General features: G+C 45.5%; 1 protein-coding gene across 1 annotated transcript in view, besides 1 other annotated feature; it reads right to left on the bottom strand.

Annotated features, from left to right (window-relative positions):
• Positions 1 to 273: 273 nt before the first annotated feature.
• Positions 274 to 23,676, bottom strand: part of AGBL2 (AGBL carboxypeptidase 2) — a 55,779-nt gene continuing 32,376 nt past the window's right edge. Inside the window, exons 12-19 of the mRNA NM_024783.4 lie at positions 22,652 to 22,778; positions 20,656 to 20,756; positions 17,954 to 18,084; positions 9,524 to 9,590; positions 8,254 to 8,379; positions 7,639 to 7,746; positions 3,709 to 3,795; positions 274 to 1,029 (exon numbers count right to left, since the gene is read on the bottom strand). Of these exons, the coding sequence (NP_079059.2) occupies positions 856 to 1,029; positions 3,709 to 3,795; positions 7,639 to 7,746; positions 8,254 to 8,379; positions 9,524 to 9,590; positions 17,954 to 18,084; positions 20,656 to 20,756; positions 22,652 to 22,778 (921 nt within the window). The 3' untranslated portion in view covers positions 274 to 855. The remainder of the gene's footprint in view (positions 1,030 to 3,708; positions 3,796 to 7,638; positions 7,747 to 8,253; positions 8,380 to 9,523; positions 9,591 to 17,953; positions 18,085 to 20,655; positions 20,757 to 22,651; positions 22,779 to 23,676) is intronic.
• Positions 20,820 to 21,114: a silencer, noted in NCBI's record as "tiled region #12296; K562 Repressive DNase matched - State 5:Enh". NCBI's record gives its function as "represses a minimal TATA promoter and a strong SV40 promoter by Sharpr-MPRA in K562 cells {active_cell/tissue: K562}" and the evidence as "EXISTENCE:reporter gene assay evidence [ECO:0000049][PMID:27701403]".

Here is a 23,676-nt window from a genome sequence, read left to right on the forward strand (position 1 = left end):
AGGTAGTGATGGTGGCTGAAAGTTTAAAAGTGATAATGAAAAATGTGCTAGAAAACTTTCAATCCCATGTGATAGAAAAAAAGTAGTCAAAATAGGGCTCCTAGCATGAGCTGGAGTGACCACCCCTGTAAATGACTCCAGCGTGTTGACATGACAGGCTGCAGCTGGCCGACTTTGCTTGGTGCTCAGGAGAGGCTATTGGAAAGAAAAGGCGGATAAAAAATATCTGTTCACATAAAATTATGCAGTTAACCAATCAAAGGAAACAACTGGTTAGAGAGAAAGAATTTTAATCATCAGCCTAAAAAAATTACAAAACCTCATTGAACATAAGGTACGCAACATTAAATTCTGGGTAATACATGCATTGTTATTTCTATGTGGGAATACCTCATTGTGAGCAAACCTGACATACAGCAGTAGGACTGACCGTCACTAGAAAGCTTTGACACAACACTTTTTTTTATTATAGCACACTGCCAAAATGTGTTTAACATAGATTTTGATTTTTAAAAATTGATTTGCACATAATTTTAGAGAGAATATCTATTGGTTAAAATGAGGTATATCTGTGCTGCCATGAAGTGTGCCATGAGAACACACTTCAGTTTCTGATAAAGCATTTTTACACATCATAATAAAATTTCATTTTATGAAAAAATAGTTGAATTCATGAGGTATGCATCTTGACCACATGCCCACAGTGTAAGTACAAAGTGTAAGGTCAGTGCATGAGTGCACAACACAGTATACCACAAGTAAATGCAGTTCCCAGTCATACATCTCCCCCATTATAAAATGTGTCTAATCTCAAAACCCCCGATGAAGTGCTTGTGTGGCACAGCCCAGGCTCACCTACGGGTATGTGTATATGTGCAAGGATGGGTATGCCGCCATGGCAGCACAGCCTCTCTTTGTGGCAGGATATCTGCTCCTAGGCCAGTTTGGCTTCATACCTGGAGCTGGCTCTTGGCTGGAGTTTATGGTTCTCTTTGGAGAGCATGATACTGTAAAGCCTGGCTTCTTATTCTGTGCAAATAAGATTTTAAAAAGTTGAATTCAGTTTATTTTGCCATTTCCAAATATGTAGTTAGGGTTGGGGTTGGCTTTACAAGGAGCTGGTGAGAAATATTTGCATTTCTTCCCCAAATATAAAAGTAGTTGACAATGTTACAGAACAGAGGTGAATTGAGCATTTGTCCTGGTCCCTTAGCCAAATCAAGGTCAACATGAGACACATTTTTTTTTTTTTTTGAGATGGAGTCTTGCTCTGTTGCTCTGGCTGGAGTGCAATGGCACAATCTCAGCTCACTGCAACCTCTGCCTTCTGGGCTCAAGCAATTCTCCTGCCTCAGCCTCCCGAGGAGCTGGGACTACAGGCGTGCACCACCACACCCAGCTAATTTTTTTGTATTTTTAGTAGAGATGGGGTTTCGCCATTTTGCCCAGGCTGGTCTCAAACTCCTGACCTCAAGTGATCCTCCTGCCTTGGCCTCCCAAAGTGCTGGGATTACAGGCGTGAGCCACCACGCCGGCCAACATGGGCAACATTTTAATTGCCCCCAAAAGCAGAAGGACTGCATTTTATAAGCTGTCTAGAAACATTACACAAAAAAATAGAAAAACAATCTGTCAAGGTGGCAGATTGCCTCATTTTTTTCAATTATGTTTATCTGACATGTTATAGAAATTAAATACCCACATCTCTGTTACACAAGTATCACACTATAAATTTTAAGAAAATATGAGGTGGGATAATCGCTTGAGCCTGGCAGGCAGAGGTTGCAGTGAGCCAAGATCATGCCACTGCACTCCAGCCTGGGCGACAGAGCAAGACCCTGTCTCAAAAAAAAAAATTTTTTTTTAAGAAAATGAACTAAAGATAAAGGTTTGGATAACATTCATCCACTACACTGGATTTAACTGAATTCATGGTTATATGTTACAACCTAATTAGTATGTTTCAGTTCTGGGATATGGTTTTTGCTACTCATAGCCTTCCAGCAATGAATGCTAAGTGAAGAAAGAGGACAAGCTCATTCTTGATTAGTCTGTCAGGACTGAAACTCTCTTTAATTTGACTTTATTTAAGCCTATCTTTTCGCCGCTCTTCATTTTCTGTCATAATATGGTGATTGGACTATCAGTCTTGTCACTCCTAGAGGATCTTGTCTTCATGTCTTTTAAGGGCCTTGCACATAGTAGACACTAGAAGACACTGATAGGTAAATGAGAGCATCAGTGCAAGAATTCCCAAGCAACAGACTTGGGAAGACAGCAGGGACTCCATCCATTGGGAGAACCATCTACTCTATATCTAGTACACCTAACATAATCCACTGATTCTCAACCTGTGTTTTACCCAGACTCATGTGAACAACACCCTCCTGTACACATTCCCTGGGCTATTAGAAACAACAGCTTACTAGCTGTTTTGCCACCTTTTTTTTTTTTGGAGACAGAGTCTCACTCTGTCGCCCAGGCTGCAGTGGTGCGATCTCTGCTCACTGCAACCTCCACCTCCGGGTTCAAGTGATCCTCCTGCCTCAGCCTTCCAAGTAGCTGGGACTACAGGCGTGTGCCACCACACCTGGCTAATTTTTTGGTTTTTAGTAGAGACAGGGTTTCACCATGTTGGCCAGGCTGGTCTCGAACTCCTGACCTCAGGTTATCCGCCCACCTCGGCCTCCCAAAGTGCTGGGATTACAGGCATAAGCCACCGCGCCTGGCCTCACCACCTCTTTTTTCCTCCCTTTCAGGAAAAAACATGTGAGTGCAAATGAGCATGATGAATGTTATTATAGGGATAAATATGAATTCATTCAAACTTACTCTTTTTTTAAAGTTTTTATATTTTATTTATTTATTTATTTTGAGAAAGAGTCTCACTCTGTCACCCAGGCTGGAGTGCCGTGGTGCAATCTTGGTTCACTGCAAACTCTGCCTCCTGGGTTCAAGTGATTCTCCTGCCTCAGCCTCCCGAGTAGCTGGGGTTATAAGCATGCACCACTACACCCAGCTAATTTTTATATTTTTAGTTGAGACAGGGTTTGGCCATGTTGGCCAGGCTGGTCTTGAACTGGAACTCCTAACCTCAGGTGATCCACTCGCCTCAGCCTCCTAAAGTGCTTGGATTACAGGTGTGAGCCACTGCACCTGACCAAACTTACTCGTTCACTTTTTTTTTTTTTTTTAGACGGAGTCGCACTCTGTCACCCAGGCTGGAGTGCAATGGCACGATCTCAGCTCACTGCAACCTCTGCCTCCCGGGTTCAAGCGATTCTCCTGCCTCAGCCTCTCCAGTAGCTGGGATTACAGGCACACACCACCATGCCCAACTAATTTTTGTATTTTTTAATAGAGATGGGGTTTCACCATGTTGGCCAGGCTGGTCTTGAACTCCTGACCTCAAATCATCTGCCTGCCTTGGCCTCCCAAAGTGCTGGGATTACAGGCATGAGCCACTGTGCCCGGCCTAAAACTTACTCTTTTAAAAAAGCAAACAATTCACAAAACTTGGTACTGAATGGTCAGTGGTAACTGTAGCCTGAGGGTGCAAAATGCCTTAGATGTTCACCTGCGCAGAACGAATCCGAGAAGGTAAAACTGGACTGTGCATCACCGCCCTCCAAATCACATAATACATTTGAGAACTAATTAAAATTAATCACTGGCATATAAGTATATACAGTATATTAGGTGAAGTACCTGCATTCTCCCTTTATTCTTAGGCAGAATCAGGGTGGCCATTGATGGGTCCAGGGGGGTGTCTTTGTCTCTTCTATTTAAATTTGTCTAAAATAAATGAACATATCCTCACTAAATTTTCCACTTGAGCAAGTGTGATTACAGTGAATATACATTATTCATTTGTTTCTTATTCATACATGTTGATTCATTGTGATATTCCCACATAAAAGGACAGGCAAAACATAATTCAAAGAAGGAAAAACAATTCAAAGGAGGAAAAGTGACTAATTTACTGAGTACCTACGATATGCCAGGTGCTTTACCCTTTCACACTAATTCACACAACTTTAGGATGTAGATATTATTACCTCAGTATTTCAGATGCAGAAACTTAGTAACCCCAGGGTGGTCAGATGACTCACAGAATATTAAATAGTGGGGCTGAAATTTGAACTCAAGGCAGACTTCAAAATGTATGTATGCTCTTGCCACCAGCTGTGCTCTGTGGGGATTCCCCAGTATTACACAGTGAGGCCTCATTATAGTATTCTTTTTTTTTTTTTTTTAAGACGGAGTTTCACTCTTGTTGCCCAGGCTGGAGTGCAATGGCGCAATCTTGGCTCACTGCAACCTCTGCCTCCCGGGTTCAAGCGATTCTCCTGCCTCAGCCTCCCAAGTAGCTGGGATTACAGGCATGCGCCACCATGCCCTGCTAATTTTGTCTTTTTAGTAGAGACAGGGTTTTTCCATGTTGGTCAGGCTGGTCTTGAACTCCCGACCTCAGGTGATCCGCCCGCCTCGGCCTCCCAAAGTGCTGGAATTACAGGCATGAGCCACCGTGCCCAGCCTATAGTACTCTTTTTTTCTGAGACAGTATCACTCTTGTCGCCCAGGCTGGTTGCAATGGCGCAATCTTGGCTCACGGCAACCTCCACCTCTTGAGTTCAAGCGATTCTCCTGCCTCAGACTCCCCAGTAGCTGGAATTACAGGCGCCTGCCACCACGCCTGGCTAATTTTTATATTTTTAGTGGAGACAGGGTTTCACCATGTTGGCTGGGCTGGTCTTGAACCCCTGACCTCAGGTGATCCACCCACTTCAGCCTCCCAAAGTGCTGGGATTACAGGCGTGAGTCACCGTGCCTGGGCAGCACTGTTAACCATAGGGTAGTGTTTCACATGAGGAGGGCCCATTTTGCACCCTATCCCCTAAGAATCAGCTACTAACTATTGTACCAAAACTGTTTTTTTATTTTTTTGGGACAAAGTCTCACTATGTCATCTAGGGTGGAGTGCAGTGGCAGGATCACAGCTCACTGTAACCTTAAACTCCTGGACTCAAGTGATTCTCCCACCTCAGCCTCCCAAGTAGCTAGGACTACAGGGGCAGGCTACCACATCCAGCTAAGTTTTTTTTTTTTTTTAAGACGGGGTTTCGCTCTATTGCCCAGGCTGGAGTGCAGTGGCGTGATCTCGGCTCACTGCAACCTCTGCCTCCCAGGTTCAAGTGATTGTCCTGCCTCAGCCTCCCGAGTAGCTGGGACTACAGCGATGCACCACCACGCCCAGCTAATTTTTTGTATTTTTAGTAGACACGGGGTTTCACTGTGTTAGCTAGGATGGTCTCAATCTCCTGACCTCGTGATCCGCCTGCCTCAGCCTCCCAAAGTGTTGGGATTGCAGGCATGAGCCACTGTGCCCAGCCCACATCCAGCTAAGTTTTAAAGTTTTTTGTAGAGATAGGATCTTGCTATGTTGCTCAGGCTGGTCTTGACCTCCTGGCCTGAAGTGATCCTCCCACCTTTGCCTCCCAAAGTGCTGGGATTACAGGTGTGAGCTACCGTACCTGACCTCAAAACCCACCTCCCACCTTTTTTTTTTTTTTTTTTAATTTTTAGCAAGGTCTTGCTCTGTCGCCCAGGCTGGGGTGCAGTGGTAGGATCACAGCTCACTGTAGCCTTGACCTCTCGGGCTCAAGCAATCCTCCTACCTCAGCCTCCCAAGTAGCTAAGACTATAAGCATGCGCCACCATGCACAGCTCATTTTTTTTCTTCTTTTTTTTTTTTCTAAGACAGAGTCTTGCTCTGTCACCCAAGCTGGGCGCAATCTCAGCTCACTGCAACCTCTGCCTCCTAGGTTCAAGCAATTACTGTGACTCAGCTTCCTGAGTAGCTGCCACTACAGGCATACACCACCATGCCCAGCTAATTTTGCATTTTTAGTAGAGGTGGGGTTTCACCATGTTGGCCAGGCTGGTCTTGAACTCCTGGTCTCATGTGATCCACCCATCTTGTCCTCCCAAAGTGCTGAGATTACCGGTATGAGCCACCGTGCCCAGCCATGCCTAGCTAATTTTTAAAAAAAATTTTTGTAGAGATGGGGTCTTGCTATGTTGCCAGAGCTAGTCTCAAACTTCTGGACTCAAGCAGTCCTCCTCTCTCAGCCTTCCAAAGTGCTGGGATTACAGATGTGAGCCACCGTGCCTGGCCACCCAGGCTGGAGTACAGTGGTATGATCATGGCTCACTGCAGCCTCCAACTCTGGTCTCATGTGATCTGCCCACCTCAGTGTCTCAGATAGGTGGGACTATGTGCACCACTATGCCCAGCTAATTTTTGTTTATTTTTTGTAGAGATGAGGTTTCACTATGTTGTGCAGGCTGGTCTTGAACTCCTGGGCTCCAGTGATCCTCCTGCCTCGGCTTTCCAAAGTGTTGGGTTTGGCCAGGCGTAGTGGCTCACACCTGTAATCCCAGCACTTTGGGAGGCTGAGGCAGGCGGATCACCTGAGATCAGAAGTTCAAAACCAGCCTGGCCAACATGGTGAAACCCCGTCTGTACTAAAAATAAAAAATTAGCCAGGCAAGGTGGCATGTGCCTGTAATCCCAGCTACTCGGGAGGCTGAGGCGGGAGAATCACTTGAACCCGGGAAGTGGAGGTTGTAGTGAGCTGAGATCGCGCCACTGAACTCAAGCCTGCGTGACAGAATGAGACTCTGTCTCAAAAAAAGAAACAAAAAAGAAAACACACAAAGTGTTGGGCTTTCAGGTGTGAGCCACCATGGCCGGACAGCCTATTTTTTTACACAAAAAAATCAATGATTTTGACTGGGCATGGTAGCTCATGCCTGTAATCCCAGCACTTTGGGAGGCCAAAGTGGGTGGATTACTTGAGTTTAGCAGTTTGAGACCAGCCTGGGCAACATGTCGAAACCCTGTCTCTACTAAAAATACAAAAATTAGCCGAGCATGGTGGTGGGCACCTGTAATCCCAGCTACTCCAGAGGCTGAGACCCGAGAATCACTTGAACCCAAGAGGTGGAAGTTGCAGTGAGCTGAGATTGCCTCTGCACTCCAGCCTGGGTAACAGAGTAAGACTCCATCTCAAAAAAAAAAAAAAGAAAAAAAATCAAAGATTTTATAGCCATAAAACTATAAAGTACTAAACATTGGCTGAGTGTCTCTCCTCTGTGTTGCCACTGCATCCTACTCTGTGATACAATTTCCTACTTACTTGCTGAAATCTCCACCAGATTCTGAAGTCCCCGAGGCAGGGATAGTATTTTGTTCAAGGTTGCATTCACAGCATCCAGTAAAGGGACTGGCATGTAGTAGGTGCCCAATAAAATTCATTGATTTATTTTAAAATAACATTTGCTGATTGAGTAGATGGGTGAGTAGAGGGATGAATGGATGGTAAGTAAGGCAGCCTGTTCTTATGTTCTTGGTGTAAAATCACAAATCACCAATATTTGATTCCAGACTTCAGTCATGTCTAATCCAAAGCAGTGTCAATGTCTCCCCCAGTTTTAATGTTTTCTTGCTCCCAGTGGCACTGTCAGGTTAGGGTAACGTAAATGGCTATTACATTTGTCACATTGTGGGAGAGAGGTGCTAATTCGAGAGGTTAGAGAATCTGTGTGACAAAGAGTCAAAAACAAAAATACTACCTCATTTAACCTTGGGTTTTCATTTTTCATTGGTAAAAAACTGGAATTCTCTGAGTTTTTGAAAAAGGTTGGCTGCTTTTGCAGAGTAGAAGCAAATCCTGCCTTTTCCTAGGATTGAGTGAAAAGAGAATCTTTTTCAATTGATCTATTCAAAATTGATCCAATTTACCCAACAGCAAAACTTGTACTTCTGAAAGCACGTTTGTCTTTAGAAAGCAGAGGGTATGGTGGGAGTGTGGCAGCTTGGACAAAGATTGATGAGCTATCCAGCTGTCTTAGCCTGGACCAGGCCTGGCCCCCAGCCATCCATCTACTCCTGACTAGCTCTAGCCACTACCATTCCAGTATCATGTATTTTCTCTGGAAATTCAGACTTGGCTAAAACCCAGATTTCTTATGCCAGAGTGTAGGAGAGGTTCAGTGGGCCAAGGCCAAAACCTGCTCGGAGATGTCCGGAGGGCCCCTGGAAGGGTTCTGATCGCAAAACAGAAAGTCTCCCTCTGCCCCAATCTCCATCCCCTTTTTGGTTTAGAGTAAACTTTAACCCCCTTTCCTTATCCCTCTATGGAATGGTCTGAAACTAGACAGTAGAAATAGCCAGCAAGTCTTTCTTACTGAGGTATCTTCTGTTAACTTTAACTTCTGCATCAAATTTTTTTTCTGATACTGCTCATTTCGCTGTTTCCTAGTCTGAAGTGACTTCTTTTTTTTCTTCTTAAACATCTTCTTTTTCTGAGTCAGCTATTCCAGAAAGTAGAGAAACTGGTCATTGAAGATTCCAGAACTAGGCCCACCCACATGTGGCACTCTTCATGCAACACTCAAGACACAAAGGCTAACTCGGTATGCAGATTTGTGGTGTTGGTTTGGAGAATAAACAAACAGTTCAGTTCCCTCCTTACTGGAGGATGCTTCCTACTTAATACCCCCAAATCACACTGTTACAGATAAACTGCCAAAGGGGTACTTATGGTTGGGCATGGTGGCTCATGCCTGTAATCCCAACACTTGGGGAGGCTGAAGCGGGTGGATCACTTCAGGTCAGGAGTTTGAGACCAGCCTGGCCAACATGGTAAAACCCCACCTCTACTAAAAATACTAAAATTAGCCGGGTGAGGTGGCAGGTGCCTGTAATCCCAGTTACTCAGGAGGCTGAGGCAGGAGAATTGCTTGAACCTGGGAGGTGGAGGTTGCAGTAAGCTGAGATCACGCCCCTGAACTCCAGCCTAGGCGACAGAGTGAGACTCCATCTCAAAAAAAAAAAAAAAAAAGGCCCAGTGCAGCAGCTCACGCCTATATTCCCAGCACTTTGGGAGGCCAAGGCGGGCAGATCACGAGGTCAGGAGTTTGAGACCAGGATGGCCAACCCCATCTCTACTAAAAATACAAAAATTAGCCGGGCGTGGTGGCATGTGCCTGTAATCCCAGCTACTCAGGAGGCTGAGGCAGGAGAATTGCTTGAACCCAGAAGGCGGAAGTTTGCGCCACTGCACTCCAGCCTAGGAGACAGAGCAAGACTCCATCTCAAAAGACAAACAAACAAACAAAAAAACACAAAGGGGCACTTATACTAATAACCAAATATCTGTGATTTACAATATGAAATCAGATTACTTATGGCAATAATATCAGGCCCAGATATTAATGATCATTAAATGTGTGGTTAAAAGATTCAGTTTGGGTGTTACCTTAAGATGGCCTTAAAAATTAAGCAAGAAAGTTATAAAGGACAAAACAAGAGACTTTAGGGCAAGGTGACTAGTTAGGACATTACTGTATATTTTCTGCAGGTCTTAGGACTGTTGGAAAATTCCAACAAATTGTCTGGTAGTGTCATGACTTTTTTTTAAGGCTGCTATTTCCTGGGTATAAGAGTTCAGCTTACCTCATCTGCTATGTTTGCTAGGTGAACAGGAAGACCATCTGAGAGAGAACTGTCAGAGCCACTGGTGCTGTTTCCAAAAGAAAAAAAGAAGAGGAAATAACTGTCATTGATATGTCTAGGAAGCATAACATTTACCAGACCAGCTGTATGGGATTAGGATTAGGATATCTTCTAGTCTACTATTTCTCTCATTGTCTATGCTTCAATTACTAAAAATTATTATTTTCTTCCTTTTTTATATTTTTGGGACAGGGTCTCACTCTGTCACCCAGGCTGGAGTGCAGTACTGTGATCATAGATCACTGCAGCCTTGACCTCCCCGGCTCAAGAGATCCTCCCACCTCAGCCTTCTGAGCAACTGAGACTACAGGCTCATGCCGCCATGCCTGGCTAATTTTTAAAATTCTTGTAGTCACAGGATCCCACTATGTTGCCTGGGCTAGTCTTGAACTTTTGTGTTCAAGCGATCCTCTTGCCTCAGCCTCTTAAAGTACTTAGATTACAGGTATGAGAAATTGCGCCCAAGCAATCACTAAGAATTCTTGACAGCTGGGTGCGGTGGCACACGCCTGTAATCTCAGCATTTTGGGAGGCCAAGGTGGGTGGATCACCTTGGTCAGGAGGTGGTCAGGAGTTTGAGACCACCCGGACTAACATGGTGAAACCCCGTCTCTATTAATACAAAAAAATTATCTGGGTGTGGTGGCGCACGCCTGTAGTCCCAGCTACTCAGGAGGCTAAGGCAGGAGAATTGCTTGAACCTGGGAGGCAGAGGTTGCAGTGAACCGAGATTGCGCCATTGCACTCCAGCCTAAGCAACAAGAGTGAAGCTGTCTCAATAAAAAAAAAAAAGAAAAATTTTTTTTTGAGACAGAGTCTCCCTATGTCAACGTCTCGAGTAGCTGGAACTACAGGTGCCCGCCACCATGCCCAGCTAATTTTTTGTATTTTTAGTAGAGATGGGGTTTCACCGTGTTAGCCAAGATGGTCTCGATCTCCTGACTTCATGATCCTCCCGCCTCGGCCTCCCAAAGTGCTGGGATAACAGGCGTGAGCCACTGTACCCGGTACCCAAAAAAGAATTCTTGACAAGCACATTCATTCATTCACTCCGAACACCTACTGCATGCCAAGCAGTGTGCTAGGCACAGGGAACACAGATGAACGAGGCAGAGCCTCTGGCACCAAAGAGTTTGCAGTCCATATGGCAAAGCAAATACTGGCCAGATGGGCAGAATTGCCCTTGGTGGAGGTTGTGAGAGGCTACAGGATTCTCAATGTGCAGGCCTAGAGAACAGCAGAGGACTGTCATTTGTTTGAAAACAAGGGATCTTTCTCATTTATTCCTCTTTGGCTGGTACCAATTCAGAAATCCAGGATCCTAACAGGTACTCTGAAGAAATGTATTCAATATATAAACATATGCATTTAATAAAGAATCTGAGCCTGGGCGATACAGTACGTCGCTGTATCTACAAAAAATGTTTTTTTTAAAATTAGCTAGTAATGGTGGTGCCTCCTGTGGTCCCAGACACTTGGGAGGCTGAGATAGGAGGACCACTAGTGCCCAGGGGGTTGAGGCTGCAGTGAGCCGAGATTGTGCCACTGCACTCCAGTCTGAGCAACAGGGCAAGAAACTATCTAAAAAAATAAATAAATAACAAAAAGAACCTTCAGGTCAGAGACCAAGATTACTTTTATCACCCCAATTTTCCTTCAAAAGTTTTGAATGAGGCCAGGCATGGTGGCTCATGACTATAATCCCCACACTTTGGGAGGCCAAGGCAGGAGGGATCACTTGAGGCCAGGAATTAAAGACCAGACTGGGCAACACAGTGATACCCTGTCTCTATTAAAAAAAAAAAAAGGGTGGCTGGGCACAGTGGTTCACACCTGTAATCCCAGCACTTTGGGAGGCTGAGGCTTAAAGATCTCTTGAGCCCAGGAGTTTGAGACCAGCCTGGGCAACATGGCAAAACCCTGTCTCTACAAAAAAATACAAAAATTAGCCAGGTGTGGTGGTGTACGCCTATAGTCCCAGCTACTGGGGAGGTTGAGCTGGGAGGATCATTTGAGCTCAGGAGGTTGAGGCTATAGTGAGCTGTGATTGCGCCACTGACTCTAGCCTGGGCGACAGAGCGACACTCTTTCTAAAAAAAAAAAAAGGTTTGGATGCTCATCTAGACTAATCTAAAGTCTTCCCTCACAAACTGTGTCCTCCCCCTTTCTGCAAGGGCTAGGATGAATGAAAACTTAAATAATCAAACCTTTCTTTCTTCATGTCTTTTGCTTAAGTGTCACATTATATTTTCCCCTTTCCTGGGGTTTAGTTGGCTAGAACCAAGAGCTGTTCTCTATGACAGGGGTCTATACACACAGTTTACTGGCACAAGGCCAGGCGCGGTGGCTCATGCCTGTAATCCCAGCACTTTGGGAGGCCGAGATGGGCAGATCACTTGAGGTCAGGAATTCGAGACAAGCCTGGCCAACATTGTGAAACTCCATCTCTACTAAAAATACAAAAAAAAAATTAGCTGGGTGTGGTAGCGGGTGCCTGTAATTCCAGCTACTCGGGAGGCTGAGGCATGAGAATTGCTTGAACCCGGGAGGTGGAGATTGCAGTGATGCAGTGAGCCGAGATCGCACCACTACACTCCAGCTTGGGTGACAGAGTGAGACTCCATCTCAAAAACAAACAAACAAACAAACAAACAAAAAACACTTATTGGCACAGAGCTCGAATCACATGGGAGAAGTCAGGATTTCAAACCATTCAGCTGCCCAGGCCTTCATTCTGTTTCTGCTCCCCTCCCACCTCTCAGTGCACAATGAGTAGTAGTCCCACAGAAAGACAGCAGGAAGAAAACCCCATCTTCTCTGACCTAATTCCCAATTCCCTGTTCTCACAAGGTGTTTTTCTAGTCAAGGAGTAGCCTTTTAGGATGCTGGAAGTCCTGTTGGTAGAAAATGTTAGCAAATGGGACAAAAGCACTAAAAGCAGTATGTCCCAGAAAGTGTCAAAACCTTTGTGTGTACACACACAGAGCAAACTCAAACTGGGCTTGTACACTCACAGTCTGCTTTCCTTTGCAATCGTGACAATGAATAGGTGGAACCCCACTGGAGACTGTGACAGCCAGTTTCTTGAGGCAGAGGCTGGCAAATTGGGTTCAATAATTCTTAACCATATGCATCAGAGTGTCCCTGCTGAGCCACTAGACTGTAGAGTCTGCCTGTTTCTGAATTGGTTCCCCTTGGGCCCTATTTATTTCTTTTTAAATTTTTTAAAAAATAGAAATGGGATCTCACTATGTTGACCAAGCTGGTCTCCAACTCCTGGCCTCAAACAATCCTCCCATCTCAGTCTCCCAAAGTGCTGGGATTACAGACATGAGCCATCATACCCGTTATTACAGACATGAGCCATCATGCCTAGCCACATCTTGGGCACTATTTCTATGAGTTGATATGCAGAGCACACTTTTTTTTTTTGAGACAGGGTCTCGCTGTGTCGCTCAGGTTGGAGTGCAGTAGTGCAATCTTGACTCACTGCAGCCTTGACCTCCTGGATTCAAATGATCCTCTCACCTTAGCCTCCCAAGTAGCTGGGACAACAGGCATGAGTCACCATGACTGGCTACTTTTTGCATTTCTTGTAGAGATAGGGTTTCTCCATGTTGCCCAGGCTTGTCTTGAACTCCTGGGCTAAAGTGATCCGCCCATCTTGGCCTCCCAAAGTGCTAAGACTACAGGCGTGAGCCACTGCATCCAGCCGGCATTTTGTTTTTGAGGGTGTATTTGGAGAGGGGTTGGTGCAGAGGTCTTGGTGAGTTAGGCATAGGATTCTGAGAGAGTGGAAGGGATGACATGGTGAATGGGGCACACTACCTGGTCTGATGGCCTAGTTTAAGGTCCCCAAAGAAATATTTGTGAGACTCAGAATTGCTTTTGGGCCCAGATGTCAATGTGCCATAGAGTGGGTGGAAGAGCCATCCCTTTTCCACTGTCCACCACAGACTACAGTGCAGCCTCTGTCAGAAGACTTCCACGCCAGCTCAGAAGCCTGAAAGCAGCTGGGTCATCCACGAGGCACTTTAGCCAGTAAGTTAGAGTAGAAGGTATTCTTGCATACCTGGGAGACATAACCTTTTGGGGGCTTCCTAAATAGCTGGGGAGACTATGAAGGTACAGATGAGATCCTGAATGCTAAATTAATTCAAAAAATATTTGTTGAGCTCTTCCTCTGTGCTAGGTACAGAACAGTACCATTCTAAGTGCATGAGATACAGAGCAAACGAAAAGATCTCTGACTTTGCAGAACCTATCTCCTAGTAGAGGGAAACAGACAATAAACAACAGATATTGGCTGGGCATGGTGGCTCATGCTTGTCATCCCAGCACCTTGGGAGGCCAAGGTGGGTGGATCACTTGAGGTCAGGAGTTCAAGACCAGCCTGGGCAACATGGTGAAACCCCATCTCTACTAAAAATACAAAAATTAGATGGCCGGGCGCAGTGGCTCATGCCTGTAATCCCAGGACTTTGGGAGGCCGAGGTGGGCGGATCACCTGAGGTCGGGAGTTCGAGACCAGCCTGACCAATATGAGTAAACCCCATCTCTACTAAAAGTACAAAATTAGCCAGGCGTGGTGGCACATGCCTGTAATCCCAGCTATTTGGGAGACTGAGGCAGGAGAATCGCTTGAGCCCGGGAGGTGGAGACTGCAGTGAGCCGAGATCGTGCCGTTGCACTCCAGCCTGGGCAACAAGAGCGAAATTCTGTCTCAAAAAGAAAAAAAAAAATTAGCAGGCATGGTGGTGGGCGCCTGTAATAATCCCAGCTACTCGGGAGACTGAGGCAGGAGAATTGCTTGAACCCGGGAAGCGGAGGTTGCAGTGAGCTGAGATCACGCCATTGGACTCCAGCCTGGGTGACAGAGAGAGACTCCATCTCAAAAAAAAAAAAAAAAAAAAAATTGGCCAGGCGCAGTGGTTCATGCCTGTAATCCCAGCACTTGAGGAGGCCGAGATGGGTGGATCACCTGAGGTCAGGAGTTCGTGACCAGCCTGGCCAACATGGTGAAACCGCATCTCTACTAAAAATTAGCCAGCCGTGGTGGTGGGCACCTGTAATCCCAGCTAATCGAGAGGCTGAGGCAGGAGAATAGCTTAAACCTGGGAGACAGAGGTTGCAGTGAGTGGAGATCACGCCATTGCACTCCAGCCTGGGCAAGAAGAGTGAAAGTCTGTCTCAAAAATAAATAAATAAATAAAACAGATATAGTAAAGACTTAAATGATACAGAATGACAGAGGCAATAAATGCTATGGAAAAAAGTAGAGCACCTAAGGGGGATAAGGAGTGGCAGGAGGGTGAAGGAGGGGAGTAAGTTGTAGCATTAGAGTAATGTGTGTAGGTCATGTTGAAAAAGGCAGCATTTGGCTGGGCGCGGTGGCTCACGCCTGTAATCCCAGCACTTTGGGAGGCCGAGGTGGGCAGATTGCCTGAGGTCAGGAGTTCGAGACCAGCCTATCCTAGGCAACACAGTGAAACCCTGTCTCTACTAAAATACAAAAAATTAGCCAGGCGTGGTGGCGTGCACCTGTAGTCCCAGCTACTTGAGGGGCTGAGGCAGGAGAATTGCTTGAACCTGGGAAGCGGAGGTTGCAGTGAGCTGAGATCGTGCCACTGCACTCCAGCCTGGGTGACAGAGCGAGACTCCGTCTCAAAAAAAAAAAAAAAAAAAGGGTTAGGGTGGAGGCCATAGAGGTATCAGGAGGCTTATAGCCTTATAGGCCATTGTAGGGTCTTTGGCTTTTTTTAAAACTGAGTCGGGGAGATACTGAAGTGCTTTCAACAGATACATGATATTATCTGATTTAGGTTATTTATTTATTTATTCATTCATTTTTTGAGATGGAGTTTCGCTCTTGTTGCCCAGGCTGGAGTGCAATGGTGCGATCTCGGCTCACTGCAACCTCCGTCTCCGGGTTCCAGTGATTATCCTGCTGCAGCCTCCCGAGTAGCTGGGATTACAGGCATGTGCCATCACACACAACTGATTTTGTATTTTTAGTAGAGATGAGGTTTCTCCATGTTGGTTAGGCTGGTCTTGAACTCCTGACATCAGGTGATCTGCCAGCCTCGGCCTCCCAAAGTCCTGGGATTACAGGTGTGAGCCACCGCGCCTGATTTAGGTTTTTTAAAAAATCACTCTTCTGCTTTTTTTCAGCCTTGCTAGTCCCTTCGTCTCAGTCGCCTTTGCTGGCTCCTCCCCTATTAAAGTTGTATTATCCAGCTCAAACCTCAGACTTGGACCTCTTCTCTATCTGCACTTACTTCCTTGAGATCCCACCAGTCTTTTTTTTTTTTTTTTTTTTTTTTTCTGAGACAGGGTCTCACTCTATAGCGCAGATTGTAGTACACTAGCGCGGCCATACCTCACTGCAACCTCGAATTTCTGAGCTCAGCAATCCTCCTGCCTCAGCTTCTTAAGTAGCTAGGACTACAGGTGCATACCCCGACCCCCTGCTAAGTTTTTTTTTTTTTTTTTTTTTTTTTTGAGACCAGAGTCTCACTCTGTCACCCAGGCTGAAACGCAGTGGCGCAATCCCAGCTCACAGTAACCTCCACCTCTCGGGTTCAGGCGATCCTCCCTCCCGCCTCAGCCTCCCAAGTAGCTGGGATTACAGGCATGTGCCACCACACCCAGCTAATTTTTGTATTTTTAATAGAGATGGGGTTTCATAATGTTGGCCAGGCAGGTCTTGAACTCCTGACCTCAAGTGATCCGCCTGCCTTGGCCTCCCAAAGAGTGGGAATTACAGGTGTGAGCCACTTCATCCAGTCCCCATCTAGTGTTAAGGTTTAAATATTATCTACCAGGCTGGGCATGGTGTCTCACGCTTGTAATCGCAGCACTTTGGGAGGCTGAGGCGGGCAGATCCGTTGAGCTCAGTAGTTAGAGACCAGCCTGGGCAACATGGCAAAACCTGTTCTCTACAAAAAACACAAAAATTAACCGGGCATGATGGTGCACACCTGTAGTCCCAGCTACTTGGGGAGCTGAGGCAGGAGGATTGCTTGAGCCCAGGAAGTTGAGGATGCAGTGAGCAGAGATCATACCACTGCACTCCAGCCTGGGTGGAGAGCAACACCCTGTCTCAAGAAAAAAAAGTCATCTATCCAATGATGACTCTCTCATTGGTCCACTGGACCTCTCCACTGAACTCCAGACCCATATAGCCTACTGCTTGTTCGAGGTCTCCACTAAATATATAATGGACATTACAAACTTAACAAGCCTAACACTAGACTCCTGATCTTCACTACCTCTCTAATTTTTTCCACTCCTTTGATCTTTCCCATCTCAGCTAAAGGCAACTCCATCCAACCAATTGTGGAGTCATTCTCTTCTTTTCTCATGCCCATATCCAATCCACAGGCAAATCCTAATGTTTATAATTTCAAAATATATCTAGAATCCAACCAATTCACACATCCCCCCACAACCACTGCTGCTACTCTGGTCTAAGCCTCCATTACCTTTTACCTGTATTATTGGTCTAAGCCTCCATTATCTTTTACCTATATTATTGCAAGAGCCTCCTATTGAGTCTCCCTGCTTAGAACTTCCCTCTTTATGATCTACTTTTCACACAGCAGCCAGTGTTCCTGTTGAAACTAAAACCTGTCTGGGGCCGGACGCGGCGGCTCACGCCTGTAATCCCAGCACTTTGGGAGGCCCAGGCGGGTGGATCACGAGGTCAGGAGATTGAGACCATCCTGGCTAACACGGTGAAACCCCATCTCTACTAAAAATACAAAAAATTAGCCGGGCGTTGTTGCAGGCGCCTGTAGTCCCAGCTACTCGGGAGGCTGAGCCCGGAGAATGGCCTGAACCCGGAAGGCGGAGCTTGCGGTGAGTGGAGATCGCGCCACTGCAGCCTGGGCGACAGAGCGAGCCTCCATCTCAAAAAAAAAAAAAAAAAAAAAGAAACTAAAACCTGTCAAACCATGATATTTCTCTACTCAAAACCTTCCAAAGGCTTTCCATCTCCGTTGGAGTGAAAGGCAAAGGCTTTGCAGTTCCCTACAAGGCCCTACACAAACTGCCTGCCCAACTCCCTACTCCTTTCTAATGGCTAAAACAGAGGCTGGCAAAGAATATTCACTCTTTTGTTTTGTTTTTTGTTTCTGAGCCTGTCGCCCATGCTGGAGTGCAGTGGCATGATCTTGGCTCACTGTAGCCTTAACTTCCTGGGCTCAGGTGATCCTCCCACCTCAGCCTCCCCAGTGTCTGGGACTACAGGCATAGATCACCAAGCCCAGCTAATTTTTGTATTTTTTGTAGAGACAACATCTCACTATATCACCCAGGTTAACAACAAAGTATTTAAAAAAAAACAAAACTCTGTTTTTTCTTTGTTACCTGGATTCAATGTCAGACAAAGAGATGTCACTCCAACTTCCTTCTAAATCTACATCTTGTCCAAGTTCATGGAATTTCTTGTGGATTTCCTGTCGTAAAAGCTCCTTAAGCTCTGCTAGACACTGAGTGAACTATGAAAGTGAAAAAAAGAACTATTTTGTTAATTCATTTTATTTTATTTATTTATTATTATTATTTTTGAGACGGAGTTTGACTCTTGTTGCCCAGGCTGGAGTACAATGGCACTATCTTGGCTCACTGCAACCTCTGTCTCCTGGGTTCAAGCGATTCTCCTGCCTCAGCCTCCCAAGTAGCTGGGATTACAGGCATGCCCCACCACACTCAGCTAATTTTGTATTTTTAGTAGAAACAGGGTTTCACCATATTGGTCAGGCTGGTTTTGAACTCCCGACCTCAGGTGATCCACCTGCCTCAGCTTCCCAAAGTGCTGGGATTACAGGCGTGAGCCATCATGCCTGGCCCATTTTATTTATTCATCAAATATTTACTAAGTATATGCTGAAAGGCATTTTATTTATTGCTGGGAACACAAAGATGAATAACCTGCACCCCTGCTAGTAAGGACATGTTAACAGAAAATTACATGAGCGGGAGGAACAAATAGAAATTTTTTTAGGGCAGAACATCAGTGAGCACTGCTCTAGCCACTTTTCTCTGACTAGAGCCAACTTCTTCTTTTTTATTTTTTTTTGAGACAGAGTCTTGCTCTGTCTCCAGGCTGGAGTACAGTGGCGTGATCTTGGCTCACTGCAACCTCCGCCCCCTGGGTTCAAGCCATTCTCCTGCCTCAGCCTCCTGAGTAGCTGGGACTACAGGCGCACACCACCACGCCCAGCTAATTTTTGTATTTTTAGTAGAGATGGGGTTTCACCACGTTGGCCAGGATGGTCTCGAACTCCTGACCTCGTGATCTGCCCGCCTTGGCCTCCCAAAGTGCTGGGATTACAGGCGTGAGCCATCATGCCTGGCTGCCAACTTCTTCAACAATGCAATACTCTATTTTATTTTATTTTATTTTATTTTATTTTATTTTATTTTATTTTATTATTTTATTTTTTTTGAGACGGAGTCTTGCTCTGTCACCCAGGCTGGAGTGTAGTGGCATGATCTCTGCTCACTGCAACCTCTGCCTCCCAGGTTCAAGTGTTTCTCCTGCCTCAGCCTCCCGAGCAGCTGGGATTACAGGCGCTTGCCACCACGCCTGGCTAAATTTTTGTATTTTTAGTAGAGATGGGGGTTTCACCGTGTTGGTCAGGCTGGTCTCGAACTCCTGACCTTGTGATTTGCCAGCCTTAGCCTCCCAAAGTGCTGGGATTAGAGGTGTGAGCCACTGCACCCGGCCTGATGATGATTATTATTAGTTTTTTGTTTGTTTGTTTGTTTGGGAAGACATAATTAATGAGGCAAGACCTCAGAAAGGCCATAGGGGAAGTCAACAAGTGTACACAGAGCAGGGCTAACTTTGGAGAAGAGAAAAGACACCTGGCTGGGCACAGTGGCTCGCGCCTATAATCCCAGCAGTTTGGGAGGCTGAGGCGGGCAGATTACCTGAGGTCAGGAGTTCCAGACCAGCCTGACCAATATGGTGAAACCCCATCTGTACTAAAAAATACAAAAATTAGCCGGACGTGGTGGTGCACGCCTGTAATCCCAGCTACTCAGTAGACTGAGGCAGGAGAATTGCATGATCCTGGGAGGTGGAGATTGCAGTGAGCCAAGTTCGCGCCACTGCACTCCAGCCTGGGCGACAGATGGAGACCCTGTCTCAAAAAAAAAAAAAAAAAAAAAAAAAAAAAAAGAAAAGACACCTGATTTTCTAAAATAAAAGGAAAGATAATTAGTGTTGTAGCTGGGCACAGTGGCTCATGCTTGTAATCCCAGCACTTTGAGAGGCTGAGGCAGGAGGATCACGAGCCCAGGAGCTGGAGACCAGCCTGGGAACGGAAAAACCCTGTCTCTATAAAAGCTTAAAAATTAGCTGTGTGTGGTGGTGCATACTTGTGGTCTCAACTACTTGGGAGGCTAAGGTGTTGAGGCTGCAATGAGCCGTGATCACCCCATTGCACTTCAGCCTGGGTAACAGAGTCAGATCCTGTCTCAAAAGAAAAAAAAAAGAATAGGTGTTGCCATAGGTTAAGTCCAGAAGTGAGGGAGAGGTGTTCCAAAGGACTGTCTCCATCTTCTTGGTGAATTATGAGGTCTTACCATTTGTAGACAGTATGCAGTCTGGGGGCTTTCTTATTTTCTTTTATTATAAAAACTTCAGAAAACTAGTAAGAGGAAAATAAAGATTGCCTATAATTCCACTGGGCTCACTTTGGACCCATGTGAAACTGACCACAGCATCATCATCACATTTCTTTTTTTTTTTTTTGAGTCTCGCTCTGTCCCCCAGGCTGGAGTGCAGTGGTGTGATCTCGACTCAGTGCAACCTCCGCCTCCTAGGTTCAAGTGATTCTCCTGCCTCAGCCTCCCGAGAGCTGGGATTACAGGCACATGCCACCACGACCAGCTAATTTTTTGTATTTTTAGTAGAGAGAGGGTTTTGCCATGTTGCCCAGGCTGGTCTTGAACTCCTGAGCTCAGGCAATCCACCCACTTCAGCCTCCCAAAGTGCTAGGATTACAGGTGTGAGCCACCATGCCTGGCCTTCATCACATTTCTTGAAACCCCATTTTTACCTTCATTTGGTCAGGATCACAAAAGTCCAGAAGGGTGTCACAGACATGATAACCTAAGGACTTCAGATCTTCGATGGTAAAGTGGGTGTCTCTTTTATTACCTGGAAAAAAAAAAAACCCCGCAAACATTTCCAATTAAATCTTAGTGACTGAATGTAAATCTAATTTATGATTATCTTTTTAAAAATACCACCACTGGCCAGGCGGGGTGGTTTACGCCTGTAATCCCAGCACTTTGGGAGGCCAAGGCAGGCAGATCACGAGGTCAGGAGATTGAGACCATCCTGGCTAACATGGTGAAAGCTCGTCTCTACTAAAAAATACAAAGAAAATTAGCCGGGCGTGGTGGTGGGCGCCTGTAGCCTGTAGTCCTATCTCCTCAGGAGGCTGAGGCAGGAGAATGGCGTGAATCCGGGAGGTGGAGCTTGCAATGAGCTGAGATCGTGCCACTGCACTCCAGCCTGGATGACACAGCAAGACTGTCTCAAAAAAATAAAAATAAAAAATAAAAAAATACCACCACTGGCCAGGCACAGTGGCTCATGCCTATAATCCCAGCACTTTGAGAGACCAAGGCAGGCCCTTCACTTGAGCCTAGGAGTTCGAGACTAGCCTGGGCAACATGGTGAGACCTTGTCTCTACAAAAAATACAAAAATTAGCCTGACGTTGTGGCATGTGCCTATAGTCCCAGCTACTCAGGAGGCTGAGGTTGGAGGCTAAGGTGGGAGGATCGCCTGAGCCAGGGAGGCGAGGTTTCAGTGAGCTGGGATTGCGCCACTGCACTCCAGCCTGGGTAACAGAGGGAGACCCTGAAACAAAACAAAACAAAACAAAACAAAACAAAACAAAACACCTCTTATTCTAGAATATTATGCTTCAGGAGAGTGTAGCTCTCCTAGTTTTAGTTTGGTTCAGAAGAATCTTTGGCAATGAAAAAATTATAATCATGATGGTTCTAATTACTGGGGTTTTTACTTCATGTTAGGCACTATGGGAAGTGCACTCCATGCACCATCTCACTAAGCAGTACCTACAATGCAAGTACTATTATTATTGCAGTAAAAGGAAAATGAGGCTGGGCATGGTGGTTCATGCCTGCCATCCCAGTACTTTGAGAGGCCGAGGCAGGAGGATTGCTTGAGCCAGGGAGTTTGAGGCCAGCTTGAGCAACATAAGGAGACCCTGTCTCTACAAAAAAAATAAAAAAATTAGCCAGGCATGGTGACATGCACCTATAGTCCCAGCTACACGACGGGCTAAGGTGGGAGAATCGCTTGAGCCTGGGAGGTTGAGAATGCAGAGAGCCATGATCATGCCACTACACTCTAGCCTGGGTGAAAGAAACCCTGTCTCAAAAAAACAAAATAAATAAAAATTAAAAAAAGAAAGAAAAAATGAAGTTCAAAAAGGCCAGATAATTTACCCAAGAACACAAAACTTGTTAATGCAGCTGAAATTCAACCCCCTATCTGCCTGATTCCAGGTTTTTTGTTTGTTTGTTTGTTTGTTTTGAGACAGAGTCTCGCTCTGTCACCCAAGCTGGAGTGCAATGGCACGATCTTGGCTCACTGCAACCTTCACCTCCCGGGTTCAAGCGATTCTCCTGCCTCAACCTCCAGAGTAGCTGGGACTACCGGCACGTGCCACCACGCCCAGCTAATTTTTAGTAGAGATGGGGTTTCACCATGTTGGTCACGCTGGTCTTGATCTCCTGACCTCGTGATCTGCCCGCCTTGGCCTCCCAAAGTGCTGGGATTACAGGCGTGAGCCACTGCGCCTGGCCTGATTCCAGGTCTTTAGCAACCACTATGCCATACTGCCTCATCAAATATATTTCACATTCATATGTTGGGCACTCAAATTTAGCATAAGTCTAGACAAAGAAATCCTCTAGATCAGTTATCTCCCCAGCATTCAAAGGCATTTTATCTCCCTGATGCTTTGCTTGGATTTCCCTTCCTATGCTGGCCTATGATATACAAAAGAGAATGTACCCAGGGTGGACCCGCCAAAGGTAGACTCCATGGTGTAGCTGTTTAGGATTCCCATCCGCCACATAACAACTCGTCCTGTTCCTTCTTTGCATTTTTGGACCTTAAAATTACAACTGTGAAAAGAGAACTAAAAAGAAATCCAAATTTTCTGTTAATCATAAATCAGCAAATGTAAAATATCTAAGATTCATTAATATGATACAAGAATAATTTCCTTGGGGTCCATATGTTATTTCCCAAAGCATGTTCCACAAAATACTAATTTGGAGGGATGTTAACAGGTATTACAGGGGAAAAAGGAGTTCTGTGGTCATGTTAGTCAGGGAGATGAAGGGTTAACAAAACTAAACAGGCTCTCTCTGCAAGCCCTCTTAGAGTGTTTAATATGAGGACTGTAATCTTCCAAAGGGAAGAGAGTATATTTGCAATATGTTTTCCAAACATTTTTGCCCATGAACTCTTCCTTCCTGTTGTCCCCACCCCACTCCCCTAAGGAGAATTTTGCAGGAATTGGTTTCCTAGAACATCCGTTTGGCATTCAAGGCACTAGCCAACCTTTCTAAGACTTATTTTCTGCCACTCCCCAACTTGAACCCCTAAATCTAGTTGTGTTTATCTTCTGTCTATGATGTGTATTCCTTACCCCCATAATCTCTGCCTGGAACCCTCTCCCTTACACTAATCTTATCACTTGGAGTTCAATATCCTCCCTTATCTTTTATGACCCCTCAGCCCTTGTGTGTCACTTGGAGTTTGTAATATACACTTGGCACCTCTCTCTATCCACCCTATCGTGCTAAAAAGATTTTGCAGTTGGAAAGTATCTCATTGTCCAGCGATTTTTAAATTGTGCTCTGTGGAATCCAGGGGTTCTATTGAGGAGCCTCAGGGCATTTCTGCTTCATGGAGGGAAGGAGCAGAGGAGACAGAGTTCCCTGCTTCAATTAGTTTGTTTTAGATATGGGTTCTGGGTGTGATTTCCTGAAAGAAAGAAAAGAAGATAAGAGAAGGAAAAGAAGGAAAGA

This window comes from Homo sapiens, chromosome 11, assembly GCF_000001405.40.
Source record: "Homo sapiens chromosome 11, GRCh38.p14 Primary Assembly".
In the NCBI taxonomy this organism is placed as follows: domain Eukaryota; kingdom Metazoa; phylum Chordata; class Mammalia; order Primates; family Hominidae; genus Homo; species Homo sapiens.